The 15,404-nt window shown below is 36.2% G+C and overlaps 1 protein-coding gene across 9 annotated transcripts in view, besides 1 other annotated feature; it reads left to right on the top strand.

Moving 5' to 3' along the window:
* The window catches only part of ARID4B (AT-rich interaction domain 4B), a 161,278-nt gene that overhangs the window by 63,987 nt on the left and 81,887 nt on the right, over nt 1-15,404 (top strand). For all 9 annotated transcript variants that reach the window (NR_135074.2, XM_024447626.2, XM_047422531.1 and 6 more), the window contains exons 3-6: nt 3,441-3,551; nt 6,968-7,033; nt 8,443-8,533; nt 11,384-11,463. Coding sequence is in view for 8 of the 9 variants with exons in the window: in XM_024447626.2 (XP_024303394.1) it covers nt 3,441-3,551; nt 6,968-7,033; nt 8,443-8,533; nt 11,384-11,463 (348 nt within the window). In the remaining variant the exon portion in view is untranslated. The remainder of the gene's footprint in view (nt 1-3,440; nt 3,552-6,967; nt 7,034-8,442; nt 8,534-11,383; nt 11,464-15,404) is intronic.
* Nucleotides 10,625-10,919: an enhancer, noted in NCBI's record as "tiled region #13312; HepG2 Activating non-DNase unmatched - State 12:CtcfO". NCBI's record gives its function as "activates a minimal TATA promoter and a strong SV40 promoter by Sharpr-MPRA in HepG2 cells {active_cell/tissue: HepG2}" and the evidence as "EXISTENCE:reporter gene assay evidence [ECO:0000049][PMID:27701403]".

Genomic DNA, 15,404 nt, shown 5'->3' with positions numbered 1-15,404 from the left:
GCTGAATGAGAATTTAGGAACAGAAAAGTAACTTACCTGAGATAATGTATAATAAATAGAGGTGGCAGCAGTAAGATCAGAACACAGATCACTGCTTTTTCTGTGCTCTTTCTAACGAATTAACACTGCTCTGATGATGTGTTTCAGTTTTAGCAGCTTTTATTAGACTTTGGTTTCCTTCTGCAAGTCTTTTTTTTTTGAGATGGAGTCTCGCTCTGTCACCCAGGCTGGAGTGCAGTGGCACGATCTTGGCTCACTGCAAGCCCCGCCTCCCAGGTTCACGCCATTCTCCTGCCTCAGCCTCCTGAGTAGCTAGGACTACAGGTGTGCGCCACCACGCCCAGCTATTTTTTTGTATTTTTTTTTTTTAGTAGAGACGGGGTTTCACCGTGTTAGCCAGGATGGTTTTGATCTCCTGACCTCGTGATCCGCCCGCCTCAGCCTCCCAAAGTGGTGGGATTACAGGTGTGAGTCCCGCGCCCAGCCCTCCTTCTGCAAGTCTTTCTAAAGGCATTTTCTTTATATGCCTTGTAATTCCTTTTCCTGTGTTCTAGCATGAAGGAAAGAAAATATTGCCCTTCAAAAGAATAGTTTGCCCCACAATAATTTGAAGTAATAAATACCCTTCTCCCGTCAACACGGATTTTTATATTGTTGAAGATGTGGGATGGGCTTAATTTGGGGGCGGAGGGAGTCCCCTTTCTCAAATTCAGCTTTAATAAATATGCCCAATAAGCAAATCTGCAGTTTGCTGTAGTTGAAATGTTGCTAGTGTCTGTGAATGTTAATGAAAAGAATACGCAAATGGGTTTCTGAATACTAATAGTCTAAAGATGTTAGTATTCTATACCCTATTTTTGTTAAGAATTATCTATTAAAAATTTAAAAGTGTATCAATTCCTAAATTTTTATATGTTCCTCAGTAGGTACAAATATGCAACTTTTAGTTGATTTATTGTTCTCTTCTATGTTTCATAATTTTAGTTGCCTCATCAGTTTTAATTTATTTTTAACTATACTGTTTGTCTCTGAAAATAAAATTTTACTGGCTAGTATGGCAGAATGTGTTAATAGAGGAGGTTGCAAATTGTGGAAAGTTATGAGCCTGTGGTCATGAAGACTGCCCTGCCATTTGGGTTTTTATAGCAGTAATACCCAGTACCAATTGAACCACAAAGTGAACTGAAATTTCCTTAAATTGTTTCTCTCTCTATAAAACATTTAAAAAAAATTTAATTGATGAGTAAAGCTTGAATATATTCAGTATGTGCAACATGATGAATTGATGTACATTTTATGATTACCACAGTTAAATTAACAAACACATTCATTATCACTTGTGCTGTACATTATATTCCCATCCTTATGATAAAAATTTTTTTTTAATTAATTGAGATAGGATCTTGCTGTGTTGCTTGGGCTGATCTTGAACTCCTGAGCTCAAGCAGTCCTGCTTCGGCCTCCCAAATTGCTGGGATTACAGGTGTGAGCCACAATGCGTGGCCATTTTTATGATTTTGGAGCGAAGTGGTGTGAGTCCCTTTTCATATTATTGCTTAAATAAAGCCACTAGTATGCCTGGAATGTAACCATAATTTTGGCCAGGGAAAATGATATTTTAAGAGACCTAAGGCAGGTAGGTAAAGTAGAAATGCATTTATTCACTAGGTACAACAGCAATGTAAAGTTATCAAGTTGTAGTTAATAATATAAAAAAATTAGAAAGTATTAGTGCAGAAATGATTATCTTTCTGTAAGGGTATATTCCCATTATGGTATAAATGAACTGATGAATAGGCATTTTCCTAAGTTGATTTTAAAAATTGTATAACTGATATGTTTTGAGTTTACTTTTTATGAAATACATGGAATGTGAAGCAGGTGGCCATTATGGAGGTCTGATATAATTGTGGGCACTCCTGTTATAGCACTAGAATATTGTTTTTTTCCCTTTTTCTTTGGGAAATAGATTACTCTGTATGATAGCTACAACTTTTAGGGGAGAATTTATTTTAAAATCTAAATGAAATTATTCTTTCATTATTTATTACTCGTAACAGCATTTCTCACTTTATATTCTATGGGATTTCTGTAGGATGTTAATAGATGTCAATAGAAAAGAAAGGGTTCTTTGGACAAATAGATTGGGAAATGTTGAGTTAAAATGTAATCATTTTCTCTATTATAGGGTTTCTCAGATCTTTTAGCTTACATTTATGAATCTCCAAAGTTGAGGCAGAGAAGTAATTCATTCAATATAGTGAATTTCCCCCAACTCCTGCCTCCTTTCCTTTTGGTGGAACGTCCTGGGATGTTAGTACTTTTTATAAAGCACTTTGGAAAAAGCTTACTTCCATGATTTTCCTTTGGCTATGGAATTACTATAAGCAGAAGAACTCCTTAGAAATAAAAATGTAGAAATGTACCTGAATGTAAAACGTAAGAGCAGCTATTAAAAACTAAATCACAACTGAGGAAACATAAATATTAGTTAAGGTAGAAGAGTAAATATCCAGCGAATCCCTCCTATTAAAGCATTTAAGATATTTTGGCTTCAAAGTTTTGAGACTTTCCAGATGACTTTCTTCATATAGTTTTCACTAGTAGTTTAAATATACTAACTTTTCTCCCTTGTATGCTATACTACATTCTTTTTTGTTTGCTTTTTTGAGACAGGGTCTTACTCTGTGGCCCAGGCTAGAGTTCAGTGGCACGATCACTTTTCACTCGAGTCTCGACCTCTTGGGCTCAAGCACTCCTCCCACTTCAGTCTCCCAAGTAGCTAGGAGTACAGGCGCATGGCACCATAGCCAGCCAGTTTTTATTTTTTTATTTTGTAGAGTTGAGTTTTCCCTATGTTGCTTGGGGTGGTCTCAAACTCCTGGGCTCAAGTGATCCTCCAGCCTTGGCCTTCCAAAGTTCTGGGATTATAGGCAGGAACCACCACACCAGGCACTACACTAAACTACCTTAGACTTTTCTAGATAGAGATATAACAGAGCTATTCTGAATCTGGGTGACTGCCAAGATACAGCCTAAATATTAGAAGATTTCCCCCCCACCCCAGAATTTGAGCTTTAAAGATCTGCCTTCTGGCCAACGGACCCTTTTCTTGTAAGTGGTCATAGAATAAATAAATATTTGAATGAATGAGTGACTAGAGGGGTATACTTGTGAGTGAGCTAATTCATATCATGGACCATATGTATTTAATGGAAATAAGATACCTTTATATTTTATGTGATGTACATTTAAATAGTCTTTATGATAAACATTTTACTTGTTTTTTAATTTATAGTATTTTATAGATTGGTCTTGTTAACATACATTTCATATTTATAACTGTTGTAGCTTAACAAGATTAGGCTCACTATTCTGAGGTCTGATTATGGGAAAGAATTAGAGAGTTTAAATCTAATTATATTTCTTTGCATTTTTAGGCCCTTGATGAGCCTCCCTATTTGACAGTGGGCACTGATGTGAGTGCTAAATACAGAGGAGCCTTTTGTGAAGCCAAGATCAAGACAGCAAAAAGACTTGTCAAAGTCAAGGTACAGTATTTATAGATTTCATAAATTGTATGTTCAGCATTTGATATGTAAACTTTTATTTGGTGAGTGTATTTAAGATTTTTCTGCAAAATAAGTTTCTAGGAGTGAAGGTTGTAAAAATACCTCAAAACAAAGCATTTTTTGTTATTTTAAAAGTATTATAATTGGAAAGAAATTAGATTATCACAGTTGGTATTTTGAATGCCATTTCACTATAGACGTCTTATTGTTTGTATAGTGTTTTAGAGCTGGAAAGGAAGTTAGAAGTCATCTAGTTTAATTGCTTCATTTTATTACAAGAAAAATGAGGCTCGGAGAGGGTTAGTGATTTCTCCAAGGCCATTATGCCAAATTCATGGCAGAATTGGAACTACCATAGTTCATCAATTTTAAGGCATCACCCCCTCTATTTCAGCCATAAAATTAGAATGTGACTTGTAATTGATGGTGCCTTAGATAACAGTGAAATAAGGTACATCTAGTTGTTGACTCCTTATGCTCTGCCTTTCTTGAAACATCTTTCTAAAGTACTTGAGTTTTGTCTTAATATAGAAAAAGGAGTGTAATTGCTTCCATTTTAATAAATTATCAGCACTGAAAAATACCAGACAAGTGAACTTGAATATAGACATTTATTCATTTGTCAATAATTTATTGAGTGACAAACCTTTTGCAGGGAACTTTTAGGTGGGAAGGAGGATGGGGATATTAGGATGAGATTGACCTGATCTGTCCTCAAGGAATTTATAATCTAGATTAGCAGATACCTTTTAAGCCATTGGTTTTTATTTCACCAATTACATAGACTGTAGAGGTGTTGTGCTTCTGTGGAGGGTATCAGTCTCTTCTGGAGCTTTTACTGTTCCTATATTCCTTATGCATGGATGTGTTGAAAAAGCTACCTGGGTGATTCTAATTTACACTCCTGGTTAGGAACCATTGTGATAAGTCCTTTAAATTAACTACAAACTGGTAGGGGGCTAGTCTTGGCCCCACCCTACCTTCAGTTTCCACATGCTTGGTGGTTGGTGCTTTTATAGTGTGCATTTCCTGTTCTGGCTTCACACACTGGTATTCCCCAAGCACTGTTTTTTGCCAGTACTATCCTGTAGAGGAAGAGAAAGCCTTTTATCAATGTTTGTACTTTTTCAGGACTACTGGTAGCACATGTATCACCTTTGTGTGAAGTAGACAAAAGCCCTCTCTCCTGGTGGAAAGCCTTCTTAGCAGCGCTTGGCATGCAGATAGCAAGTTTGTGCCAGTTGGAAAAGACATTCTCTTTGGACTGGAGCTGTGTCACTCCAGGACCCATGCTTTGGCCCACAAAGCAAAGGCTGGATTTAAGCCCCATCTTGCATCCTTAGCTGCACATTTCCTGTGTAATGAATGAACTAGGAAAATGACATGTAGCAGTCCTGCCATTTCTTGCTGTAAATGAAAGGAACAAAACTCTTACTGGACTCTACTGCCTCTATTGATAGCACAGAGTACCTTGTGCTTTATAAGTAATGAATATCTAAAGCTTATTTTTAATTTTTTCGGCTGCCCTAAAAATTTGTTTCTGTGGAGGTGATGTCCATTAAAACACATACACAAGGAAAAAGAAAGTGTATTTCATTCAGTGATTTTGTCAGTAGATATAGGGATATATTTTTTAACATGTGTAATTTCTTTATGATTCAAAGTTAATATATTTTTAACAAATTTGTTGATATGTTTTCACTACCTGTTTTCATTTGTTGAACATTTACTATGTGCTAAGCTCTATCTAAAGGTGAAACTCTAGTGTTAAGACCTAGTCTCCATCTGTAAGTAGCTTATAGTTTAAGTGAAGGGCACAGATATCTAAACATGTGATTTAAATAAAAAGTGTGATAATGCTTTTGTATGACACAGAAATGCCTGGGATGCTGTGGGTATAAGGCATCTCCTTTCATAGCTGGTTTTTGAGTGGGCCTGCCTGTTACCTAAAATAATTATCACATATACCTGATAAAGACCATGTTAATGATTCAATCCCTATAAGAACTCTTTTCCCTTGTTAGAGAAAACAATTGTTTTCTATACTGAGTAGTGGAAGCTATCTTGTTTTTCACCAGCTAATTAAGTATTTAAATTTGAACTCATTATTTTAACTTACTCTTTTCACCTCTGGTTTCCCATTCTCTGATTTCTGTAATGATATAGAGCACAGTAAAGTTCTGGAACTAGACTGCCTACATTTAAATATCAGCTCCACCATGTCTAGCTCTGTAAACTTGGACCAGGTACTTACACTTTCTGTTTTTTGTTTTGTTTTGTTTTGCTTTTGAGACGGAGTCTTGCCCTGTCCCCCAGGCTGGAGTGCAGTGACGCAATCTCGGCTCACTGCAACCTCCACCTCCCTGGTTCAAGTGATTCTCCTGCCTAAGCCTCCGGAGTAGCTGGGATTAACAGGCATGCGCCACCATGCCTGGGTAATTTTTGTATTTTTAATAGAGATGGGGCTTCACCATGTTAACCAGGCTGGTCCCATCTCCTGATCTCAGGTGATCCACCTGCTTCGGCCTTCCAAAGTGCTGGGATTACAGGGATGAGCCACCGCACCTGGCCTGTTTCTCAGTTTTCTTATCAACAAAATGGGAACAGTCATACCTACCTAATAGGGTTGTTGTGAAGATTAAATGTTTGGTACTAGAGACTGATGCTCAGATCTCAGTTAAGTGTTTGCTGCTACTGTTTATTATTAAGGTAGGCCTTCACAAAATGATATAATACCTAATAGCCTAAAATCCCCATATCTTTCTTTCTCATTTTTTAGGAAAAGCAATTTTACAACTAAATTCATAACTGATAGTATTGAAATAAAGGATGATATGTGGGACCAGGCGTGGTGACTCACACCTGTAATCCCAGCACTCTGGTAGGTCAAGGCGGGCGGATCACTTGAGGTTGGGAGTTTGAGACCAGCCTGGCCAATGTGTTGAAACCCCATCTCTATTAGAAATACAAAAATTAGTTGGCCTGGTGGTAGGTGCCTGTAATCCTAACTACTTGAAAGACTGAGGCAGGAGAATCACTTGAACCCTGAGGTGGAGGTTGCAGTGAGCCAAGATTGCGCTACTGCACTCCAACCTGGGCGACAGAGTGAGACTGTGTATCAAAAAAGAAAAAAGTTAAAAAAAAAAAAAATGACATGTGGAACATCTAGTAATTTAGATGTGCTATCATTGATTACTTTTATTTTTGAAAACAGATACGGTCTGAGCAGTTGTCTGTAAATAATTTTTTAGTTAATCTACTTAGGGATTGGGATGTTGTATAAACTAGGCAGCTATTATTTTATATTTCTTTTACTACAAATGAATAATTGGTGCATTGATGAGCTTGTGTTGCTTGGTTTATTTTTGGTGGCTAATTAAACTTATAATCTCTAGGTGACATTTAGACATGATTCTTCAACAGTGGAAGTTCAGGATGACCACATAAAGGGCCCACTAAAGGTAATTCATGTATTCATTGTTAATTCTAATGGTTGTTTGGGAAAAAATAATCATACTTGGTATTAATTCATTGGCTCTTTTGTTATTGAGTTGATAAATTCAATATGTAATTTTCTCTAAAAAGACTAATAGAAAAAATAGACTTAATCTCAGTGACTAAGGAGGCTGAGGCAGGAGGATAGCTTGAGGCCAGGAGTTCAAGGTTGCAATAAGTTATGATTGTGTACACTGCACTTGGGGACAGCATGAGATGCTGTCTTTTAAAAAAAAGATTTAATATTAAATAATACTTGATATGGTAGTAAAACCAGTTTATTCAGAAATAAAATGAGTATCAAAGAAGCATTGACTACATTTATTTACTTAATCCACCATATTTCCATTACTAAAATGATGGATTTTCCAAAATTAATAGATGATGAACTAGGGATTAGTGATGTCAGTTCCACGATGATCTGAAAAGTGAGAAAGTTAGAAAACCAAAAAAATCGGAGCTCTTACTTCTTTGGAGCCACTACTGGCAAATGAAATCTTTTAAGGGTCATCAGCCTTTACACTAACAGTTGGAGAGTTTTATTTCTTTGCATTCATTTTTCCTCATTGGCAAGTGAAATAAATGCTGCTTTGCTTTTTGCCAGTGAGCAAGCTAAAAGAGAATGTGTGGGTAAACCACTATGTGCTCTTTGGCTGGTTTAGGGCCAAAAGGAAACCCCAGAGCAATTTTTAAATTGTCCCTATCCTTCCTGAGGTTCCTTGAAAGAAGAGTGGAAATACGGGGCAAGGACAGTCAGTTTCACAGATGGTGGTACTCACGGTGTAGTCTACTGACCCTGGGGGTTCCCAGGATTCTTTTGGCGGGGGTTGTAAGGGTAAAACTTTATAATAGTACTTAGGTATTATTTGCCTTTTTTACTACATTAACATTTTCACTGATGGTACAAAAATATTGATCGGTAAAACTGCTGGCACTTTTTTTTTTTTTTTTTGAGGCAGAGTCTTGCTCTGTCACCCAGGCTGGAGTGCAGTGGCGCGATCTCGGCTCACTGCAACCTCCACCTCCCAGGCTCAAGCAATTCTCCTGGCTCAGCCTCCCGAGTAGCTGGGATTACAGGCGCCTGCCACCACGCCTGCCCAATTTTTGTACTTTTGGTAGAGACGGGGTTTCACCATGTTGGCCAGGCTGGTCTCGAACTCCTGACCTCAAGTGATCCACCTGCCTCAGCCCCTCAAAGTGCTGGGATTGCAGGCGTGAGCCACTGTGCTCACGCCAACTGCTGGTACTTTTAAATGAAGTCAATAGTCATTTTATTCTTCACCATCATGCACTCAGTTAAAAGAAAACAAACCCAGGTTTTGGTTTGTTAATTTACCTTTTAAAAGTTTTTCTAACATGTTTAAAAATACTTTAGGTAGGAGCTATTGTGGAAGTGAAGAATCTTGATGGTGCATATCAGGAAGCTGTTATCAATAAACTAACAGATGCGAGTTGGTACACTGTAGGTAAGAAAATAAATTTTCTTTTAAAAATGTGTTTTTAGTTACACAAAGAAAACTTAATACAAATAAAATGAAATTTCCTGGATTCACTTCTTAATACCCTAGATATTATTACTGTTACTGGATTTTATCTTTCCACATCTTTTAAAAATTTATTTCCAAAGTATATGTATGTATATGTAACAAAAATTGAAATTATTTAATGTGTATATTATGCAATTGGAATTCTAGCTTTTTTTACTTCAAAGTATATCTTAGGTAAATTTCTTTTTTTCCCCAATCTTACCTATTTTTAAGTTTATAGTTCAGTAATGTTAAGGATATTCATGTTGTTTTATAATAGAAATGTCTTTTAACTGTGTATATATATATATAGAGAGAGAGAGAGAGAGATATATATCTATCTATCTATCTATCTATCTATCTATCTATCTATCTATCTAGCTCCCAGCAGGAAACAAAGTAGTAGTGTATTTTATAATAGTTGATGTGCTAGTTTATTTTTTCTTACTGATGAGGTTTCCAGTTTTCTTACTATTACAATAAATGCTGGATTGAATGTCTTTTTTACCTAATTAGGTACTTAATTAGGATACCTACTGTATCCTAGTATTTCTTTAGTGTACATACTGAGAAATAGAGGTTGAAGAAAAATATACTCCAAAAACTTTAGTAGTTAATGAAAACTGCCTTCCTAAAAGACACTGTCTGTTTTCTCAATCCTTGTCAGATTTTATGTCATTTAAAAAAATTTTTTGCTAATTTGGACATAAAGTAGTATCTCAGTTTTGTTTCAGTATGCCCTTCCCATGATTACTAGTGAGATTGAACATCTTTTCATATGTTTATTGAAAGGAACATAATTTCATTTGTGTTTTCTCCGTTTTGAGTTGCTGGCTCTTTTATTCTTTCCCTTTTTCTCTTGAGATGATTTATCTTTTTCTTATTAGTTTTGGTATATGTGTTCTTTATATATTTTGGATATTAACTGTTTACTACTTCAGTTATAAATATATTTCTCCTGTTGCTTTATTCTTGTCTCTGCTTTTAATTTTCATGTAGTCAGTTTTTGTATGGTCACCTTTTATTTTGTAATTTTAGTTTTGAATCTTAAAGCCTTCCATCAGTGTTATAAATCTATTTTCTAATGTATTCTTCAAATTTTTTATACTTTTTAAATTTATTTTTATTTTTGTTTTACAAACAGATTTTTATTTCACCTACAGTAGTATGTATTTTTTCCAACATTCTAAAATAATGATTAAAAAGTATTTGTCCTAGATTGGTAGCCATTTATTCCAGTATTATTTATTAAAGGTAACAATTCTTACCATTTAATGACCTCAGAGATGAAAGTAAACACCTAGTAAAATGTCTTTCGTGATTTCAGAGTTTGATAGAACTTTCAGATAGAATAGGTGAGTTTTGTTTATACTTCTTTGGTGTGAGAATAAAACCTGGTGAAAATAGAGGGAAAATTATTTGATTTTGAGACATAAGGAAATATTTGACTTTATGTAAGTGAGAAGACTGTGAGCAATTCTATGTAGGAAGTCTAGATGGTGATTGGTTGTAATAGTCTACTAAATGTGACACTTATGTTGTATATTTTAGTTACATCATTTAAAGATGTACTGAAAATTATTTATCCAGTTTCACATAATGTAACTTGTTATGTAACGTATAAGAATCTAATTTTAGTTCAGCCAGTAAGGAAAGGGTATTGGCTTTCTTTTAACCATTAATCATTTCTCAATAAACGTGAGATCCTGTTGAGCATCAGAAAAAGAAAAGGAAAGAAGAGTATCTAATTTTAGTAGGTAGGCAGAAAATGTAATTTCTAAAATAGAGATCTGGTAACATTATTTAAAACAGAGTTACTGTCTTCCCATGATTTCTAAGGAATGTAGCATATCCCTAAATTATTTATGTATATCACAGATTTATGCATATAATACAAATAGTCATACATTCCATATCTGTTAACTTATGGTGGTTTTGCTGGGGTGCTTTAAGTACTTTATTTTTATTAAAATTTTTCCCCTACTTTATTGAGATATAATTGACAAAATCATATAAATGTATATGTAACATGATGATTTGATAGGCAAATATATTGTGAAGTAATTACTGCAGCCAAGTTGCTTAACACTTCCATCACCTTTTAATAGACATTTTAGTATTTTAAGTCGCTAGTTTTCAACTGGGATGAATTTACCCCCAGGGAACATTTGGCAATGCCTGGAGCTGGAGACATTTTAGGTTGTCACAGCTGGGAAGGGGGTGCTACTGACATCTAGTGGGTAGAGGCCAGGAGTGCTGCTAAATATCCTGCAGTGCACAGGACAAGCCTGCCACAACAGAGAATTTTCTGGTGCAGTATGTCACTAGTGACAGTGCTAAGGGTGAGAAACCCTACTTTAAATAATGAAAATACAGTTATTTTTTTAAAGGGGCAGTCTGATTGCATATACTTGTAATCTTTCTTAGGTAAATCTGTCAATATCTGTCAGTAGGAAAACTTGTCATTTCTTTACCATTTTGAGAAGAGTTAATTAGCATTTAAATGTTTTCCTCTTGAAATACCAACTTCTTATTTTTATTTGGTATATCCTGTTTTATACAAGATGTTTTCATTTCATATATGTTGTTTCTTTTTCACTAGAAATTGGAAAAGTTACTTTAATAACTCTATATTTGAAGTTACTCACTAGAAAACATAAAATGTGAATTGAATTCCAAATGTAGTCTTAAATAGTAGATCTGTTTGCACTCAGAAAATTGTAATACATGTCATCTCTTTGATCTTTGAAAAAATCCTTCAGTAGCTTCCATTTTTACCCCCTCTCATAGTTTTTGATGACGGAGATGAGAAGACACTGAGACGATCTTCACTGTGCCTGAAAGGAGAGAGGCATTTTGCTGAAAGTGAAGTAAGTCATCATTTAACAAATGAACATGTCTTAATATTTTTTATTGGGAGGAATAAATTTTTGCTTTCTCAACTCAGTAAACCTACTTCCTAATCAGGAAAGTTCATTAATACACAATACCCTTATGATGTAATCTGTGAAGCCTGTTTAAGGCCCTGTGTTTGAGCACCAGGTTCTGTCTTCTTTTTTGTCTATGTAAAGTGTTTCAGTATTTGTCCACAGAGAAAATACAATGGGCTTTAATTATTATCTTTAGGCAGTTTTTAAACAGACTTAAAATTTGTAAATAACTAGAAAACAGATTTCTGATTTGTAATCTACTTGATCCTTGTCGTAGTTAAAGGATGTGTAGATACAACAGTCTTTAACTACTGCTACTGCTATTAGCTGATATTATTATGCCCTTTCCTCTTGCCTGACTGCCCTTCCTAAAATTGTCCCTTCCATTCCTTATCATCCTTTCAGATTGATTTAGGTCTTATTCCCTAACATCAAAATATGAGTACATAATTATTTATTGTCTGCCTTCCTCACTAGAATGTGTCACACGGTCAGAGACTTTGTATATCTTCTTCATGGCTTTGTTCCTAGTTGCTGTAACAGTGCCTGATGCAGAGTATGAACTTCATAAGTGTTAGTTGGATGAATAGATGAGGTGCTTATAATTGCCAGGGATTTTGCTAAGTGCTTTACATACATTATTGTATTTGCAACATTATGAGGTAGTTACTATTATTATCCCCAACTTTCAGATTAGGAAATGGATAGCTAGAGCTGGTTTTCTAACCAGCACTTTCTAGCACCAAAGCCATATCCTTAAATTGAAAGATGTTACTAAGAGCAGAGGGTTCACAAAGTTTTGTAACTAACTCGCTTGCAATTCAGAATTTAAAAGGTAGATGTTGCTCTAAATGGTGTTACGTTCTCTAATCCAGTCTACAGATATTCATTGATACACAGTGTGGCCGAGCTATTTCTTTTCTCTACTCACTATTTGGAATAGTGTTTCTTTGGGGATATTTTAATATTACTAATTAATATTACTTATTTGTTATTATTTATTACTTTAATATTACTTTAATATTACTTATTTAGTAGTGTTATTACTTAAACACTATTTGGAATAGTGTTTCTTTGGGGATATTTTAATATTACTTATTAACCTATTAGACTTTATGTTTTTGTTTTGAAAAATTTTTGCTTCTCTTAATGATTGAATTCCCACTTAAATTTAGAATTTGGACAGGTTCTCTGTATTATAATTCCAGCCTATCCCTTTAGTCTCATATTCAACCACTTCCCTGTACTTCTGCCTTATTAGACTGCTTGGTATTTTCAGACTATGGTCCATACTTTCCTTTATTGACTCCTTTCCTCTTGTTGGAATCTCACTTATGTTGAAGGCCATTATAAATGCTTCCTCCTCTATGTCTTTCGTGAGCTCTCTACCCAAATTGGTCGTTTTGCACTTCTCTTGCTTATTCTTGTTTTAGGACCTTTTTTTTTTTTTAACTTTTCTCATTTTTGCTGTAAGATTTTAAGCTGTTTTAGGGGAATATCCTTTCTTTCCTCACTTGATAGGCCCCCCTTTTCCTAGCAATTTCTACACAAAAGCCTTCAATAAATATGTGTGGAATAAACTGAAGGTTTACATACAATAAATACAGACAGCTTTGGGGCAAGTATAGTGATAAAGTACAGAATTCTCCCTGAGTTCGTGGAATTATTTTAATTTCATTTCCGTACAGTCAGTGAGTATGAGGACTTGAAGACATGGTTTTTCTCCTGTTAAGTGAAGGTCTGCATTTTATTTTTTTAGTCTAGAGAAATAGCCAAAATATTATTTTTTTTAACCAGGAGAATTTTCAGTTGGAATGGTTCATAAGACAGTTGTAAGTTAAATGCTGAAGGTAATATGAACAAGTGGCTATGTATCCTTCATATCTTCAAGGAGGTTCAGTTTTAGTGTGTCTGTGCAGGTGTGTACTTCTAATTTATGTTTTGCTAGAAGGAAATTAGAATACTGGTGTGTGATTCTTCAATTCCCTTCCCATGTGCCCGGAGCTGTGTAGTGCTAGGTACCGGGACAAAGGTTAAGCCAACCCATGTAAACATGGAACTTATCTTTGGGTACTTACTCCCTGTTGGAGGAGAAAAAGCATTAATCAAACCAAGCCATGTAAACATGGAACTTATCCTTGGATACTTACTCTCCGTTGGAGGAGAAAAAGCATTAATCAAACAATCAAACATATTTTAAAATTTGAGTATATTAAGCCCTGTGAAGATGTGGTCCAGAGTGCACCCAATAGGGGAATTTAATCTACCATCTGTATGTTCTTTTCTCTTTATTTGGTATTTTTCATATTGTTTTAAAAGTTTTAACGTTTTTGAAAGACCATTCAGAGTATTAGTAGTAGTAGTAGTCCATAACATTGTCCTTTAAGAGGAAAGCTGCTTCATACTGCCAGTATTTTGGGTCACTAATCCCATTTAATAAACTACTGAAATTAATCCCATCTCATAAACACTGAAATTCAGGATTTTCATGGAAAGAGATCACATTTGCACTTCAGTCAGTTTATCTTTTTATTTTATTTTATTATTATTATTATTATTTTTTGAGACGGAGTCTCGCTCTGTTGCCCAGGCTGGAGTGCAGTGGTGCGATCTCGGCTCACTGCAAGCTCCGCCTCCCAGGTTCACGCCATTCTGCTGCCTCAGCCTCCCGAGTAGCTGGAACTACAGGCACCTGCCCCCACGCCTGGCTAATTTTTTTTTTTTTTTTTTTGAGATGGAGTCTCTCTCTGTCGCCAGGCTGGACTGCAGTGGCACGATCTCGGCTCACTGCAACCTCTGCCTCCCGTGTTCAAGTGATTCTCCTGCCTCAGCCTCCTGAGTAGCTGGGACTACAGTCGTGTGCCACCACGCCCAGCTAATTTTTGTATTTTTAGTAGAGACGGGGTTTCACCATGTTGGCCAGGCTGACCTCGATCTCTTGACCTCGTGATACGCCCGCCTCAGCCTCCCAAAGTGCTGGGATTACAGGTGTGAGCCACCGTGCCCGGCCACGCCCAGCTAATTTTTAAATATTTGTTAGTAGAGACAGGGTTTTACTCTGTTAGCCAGGGTGGTCTCGATCTCCTGACCTCATGATCTGCCTGCCTTGGCCTCCCAAAGTGCTGAGATTACAGGCTTGAGCCACCACGCCCAGCCTCAGTCAGTTTAAATTCCAACACTGAAGCCACTGGTTTTAGCCATAACCAGCTTAATGAGTATGTTACCTGCTGCCTAACATCTGTAGGACAGTTTAGGTATTTCTAAAGACCATTCATACTTTGAGTATTATACAAAAGTAGATTCATCATCTGATATTTATTTATTTATTTATTTTTTTGAGACAGAGTCTTGCTCTGTCGCCCAGACTGGAGTACAGCGGCATGATCTTGGCTTACTGTAACCTCTGCCTCCCGGGTTCAAGCGATTCTCGTGCCTCAGCCTCTTGAGTATCTGGGACTACAGGCGTGCAGCACCACGCCTGACTAATTTTTGTATTTTTAGTAGAGATGGGGTTTCGCCATGTTGGCCAGGCTGGTCTTGAACTCCTAGCCTCAAGTGATCCGCCCACCTTGGCCTCCCAAAGTGCTGGGATTACAGGCGTGAGCCACCGCGCCCAGCCAATTATCTGGTATTCTTTCTTTGTATTTACTATGTGCAATTGAAAACTCTAGAGAAGTTTAGGTAAAATCCCAGTTCCATATTTTCTGCAGCCCATTTTAGGTAACAGGGCCATAGACATTTTCCCTCTAGGCCTACGGAGTTTTCTATGTGCCTTTAATACAGCTTTCAGGAGCCTCTGGTTTTTGCTCTTTAGGTCTAAGATGGGACAAATTCTACCCTACCCCCAGGTCTTTTTAGTCCCTTGAAACAAACATGCCCCT

This window comes from Homo sapiens, chromosome 1 (genome assembly GCF_000001405.40).
Source record: "Homo sapiens chromosome 1, GRCh38.p14 Primary Assembly".
NCBI classification, from domain to species: domain Eukaryota; kingdom Metazoa; phylum Chordata; class Mammalia; order Primates; family Hominidae; genus Homo; species Homo sapiens.
The sequence above is the reverse complement of the archived record's forward strand: the minus strand, read 5'-3'. Positions and strand labels throughout refer to the sequence as shown.